The sequence below is a fragment of the Homo sapiens genome, chromosome 13 (assembly GCF_000001405.40).
Source record: "Homo sapiens chromosome 13, GRCh38.p14 Primary Assembly".
Classification (NCBI taxonomy): domain Eukaryota; kingdom Metazoa; phylum Chordata; class Mammalia; order Primates; family Hominidae; genus Homo; species Homo sapiens.
In genome coordinates this window covers 109,665,245-109,667,907 of record NC_000013.11, presented here as the reverse complement: position 1 = coordinate 109,667,907, position 2,663 = coordinate 109,665,245, and the positions used below count along the sequence as shown (strand labels likewise).

General features: G+C 46.0%; 1 annotated feature.

The window, feature by feature from the left end:
- Nucleotides 1,166-2,365: an enhancer, noted in NCBI's record as "BRD4-independent group 4 enhancer chr13:110317890-110319089 (GRCh37/hg19 assembly coordinates)". NCBI's record gives its function as "activates an origin of replication core promoter dependent on BRD2, P300/CBP, MED14 and CDK7 cofactors, and independent of BRD4, by STARR-seq in HCT116 cells {active_cell/tissue: HCT116}" and the evidence as "EXISTENCE:reporter gene assay evidence [ECO:0000049][PMID:35650434]".

The window sequence follows — 2,663 nt, the reverse complement described above, 5'->3', positions numbered from 1 at the left end:
CTGTGAGGCAGTTGCTGAGCCCAGCAAGATCTGATAGAGGCTTGATGCGCTTATCGACTCTGACGATATAATTATGTTCTTGTTTTGGCTGCCCTGCACTTAAGCACAGAAAATAAAAAAGCAATCCTCTGTACAACGCCTACCACAATGATTTAAACTTCAAACTGGAGGGTAAGATGTGTATTTGAAACAAGCCACGTAGGCACAGTTATGGTGAATTTAGGGAGTGAAACACACAGGTGATCAATATTTCACTGGAGTCTTTGATATAAAATATATATCTGCTCTGTGATTTCAAAATATTCACAAAGGAGTAAATTTTTTAATGAGCTAATGAAAGAACTGTGTTTTCATTTCAAACGGGAAGAGAGGGAGAAAGAGAGAGAGAATAGAAATATAGAGCCATTTCTTCAGTAATAGTTTACAACCAGTTTGCCACAGGCTTGGATTAAAGTAAGGAAAGGCTGTCAAAACGCAGGGTAACCTGTGTGATATCTTTTCAGACCCTCAAATAGCTCAAATACTACGCTGGGAAAACTCAGAGTTTGTCCTTTAAAGAACCTGAAAGTGTTTAATCTTTGATAAGTGCAGGCTCCTCAGGCTTTGCCGCTTCCCCACACCGGATTTGCCTGCCACTCACCCATACCGATCTGATGACTTCATGTGGACACGGATCGGTCCCGTATGACAGCGTCTTCTTCCTGTGCTCATTTATTCTAGAACTATAGCAAAGCTGCTAATGCAAAGGGAAGCCTTCTACAAAAAGGATGAAGAAATCACCCTGACCAAGAGACCGAAGCAAAGATGAAAGGAAGGCATAAATAATCGCAGCTCGGGTCCGATGAGACTTATTGCTGGGGCTTTCAGACCTAGAGAGGTAGCAGGGGCGGGGTGGGGGTGCCTGTACGCGGGGGCGGGGTGTCCCACCCAGTTGACCTGGATTAGAGCCCATGGGGCTGCATTCCGGGCTTCCGTGTTTCCCAAAGTTATGTGGTGGCGGGGGGCCTGGCTGTTAAGGATCTGGGGATGTGGTTACCTATGGCCTCTGAGGGTGACACCAGCTGTCCAGCACTGTGAAATCAAACAATGGTAGTGGGCCAGAAAGATGGCTTAGCTTCCTCCTGAGTATGAGCAAGTTTCCGTAACTGTGAATCATCCTTCCCCAACCATAAAAGTGGGCATATTAATACCTGTCTTGTAAGAATCCTGTGAAGATCAGGGATAACAAATGCAACTTAATAAAAGTAACCTGTTATGTGTTGGCTGGTGATGCCATAAATGTATTTTGTAAAATCTTTATAATGGTGACTAACCAATATATTATTATTAATAGCAATAGGAGTATTGTCTGATTCAAAGGGCGCATTTAGATTGTGGTAATTCTGTGTGTGGCTGGATGGGAGACTGGAGGGGGCTGGAGGTTTTAGGATGAGTGGGACAGGGATTATTAGAAGTGGCTAATAAAGAGATCAAAGAAGTAACTTTGTTCCTAATTTTTAAAATCATCATTCTACCTCACTCTCCTAAAAGTGATGAGGATCATAATATTTATGCCTTACGTTTATACAGGACTTTATACTTGAATATCCCTTTTACATCTCTGGTCCGTTTTAGAAATTTGAGCCTAAACATGGGAAGCAGAAAAAAAGTCAATGTGGAAAAGCACTGTGCCCATCCCAGTTTGGCCAGAATGATTTCAGATTGTTATCAAGAAAGGGAATAGCGGCAGCATGGTTTGGTTTTCCTCTCTCAAGAGGACTGGACACAGGGAAGGAACAGGAAAAAACCTCCTGAGCAAAGCAAGGTTCCAGAACAGACTAGTTCAAAGCCTACACATGGTTAGTGCTCCGTGGAGGTGCCAGCTCACGGTTGGTGCACCGTGGAGGTGCCAGCTCATGCTTAGTGCACCGTGGAGGTGCCAGCTCACGGTTAGTGCACCGTGGAGGTGCCAGCTCACGCTTAGTGCACCGTGGAGGTGCCAGCTCACGCTTAGTGCACCGTGGAGGTGCTGACTCATGGTTCGCGCACAGCAGAGGCTCTGCGTTTTGGGATTCGTCTGTTCTAATTGTAGCCTTTCACTTACTGCCCTAAGACTGGCATGGAAACTATGTCTTTGAGTGATGAAAGGGCATCCGGTGTGTGGAAGCTCCTTGCAGAGTTTCTCCATATTGTCTCCTTGATAGAATGTAGCTTACTGCTGGCTTGCTTTGCACATGGCAGTCACTCGGTGCATGCTGGTGGAATAATTGAATGGAAGCTCCAGGGCCATCACCTGCACACAGTCCCCCGGAGGCCCTTTCTTCTCTCATATCTCAGCTTCCCACTGCTCAGCTTGATGTCAGGGAGACATCCTTGGTCTCCAGGAGGTGAGAGGGAACAGAACACTAACACCCCAGTGAAACACAGATTGACTTATTGTTTAGCAGCAACCAGGCAGGCATGGGCTCCCTCCCCGCTGCCAGCATCCACACGCACCTCCTCCGTAGCCATGGTAATATTTCCCACATGCCACAAGTCCGTGACATGGTCCTAATGAATAGAATGCTTTATGTTTAGCCCCAAACGTGGTCATTATCCATATATTTGAAAGAAAAGGCTCAAACAAAAACAAGGACGCCTGATGCGAAGCTCCCAGCCTGTGGGTTCTTTGCCATGGGCCTATT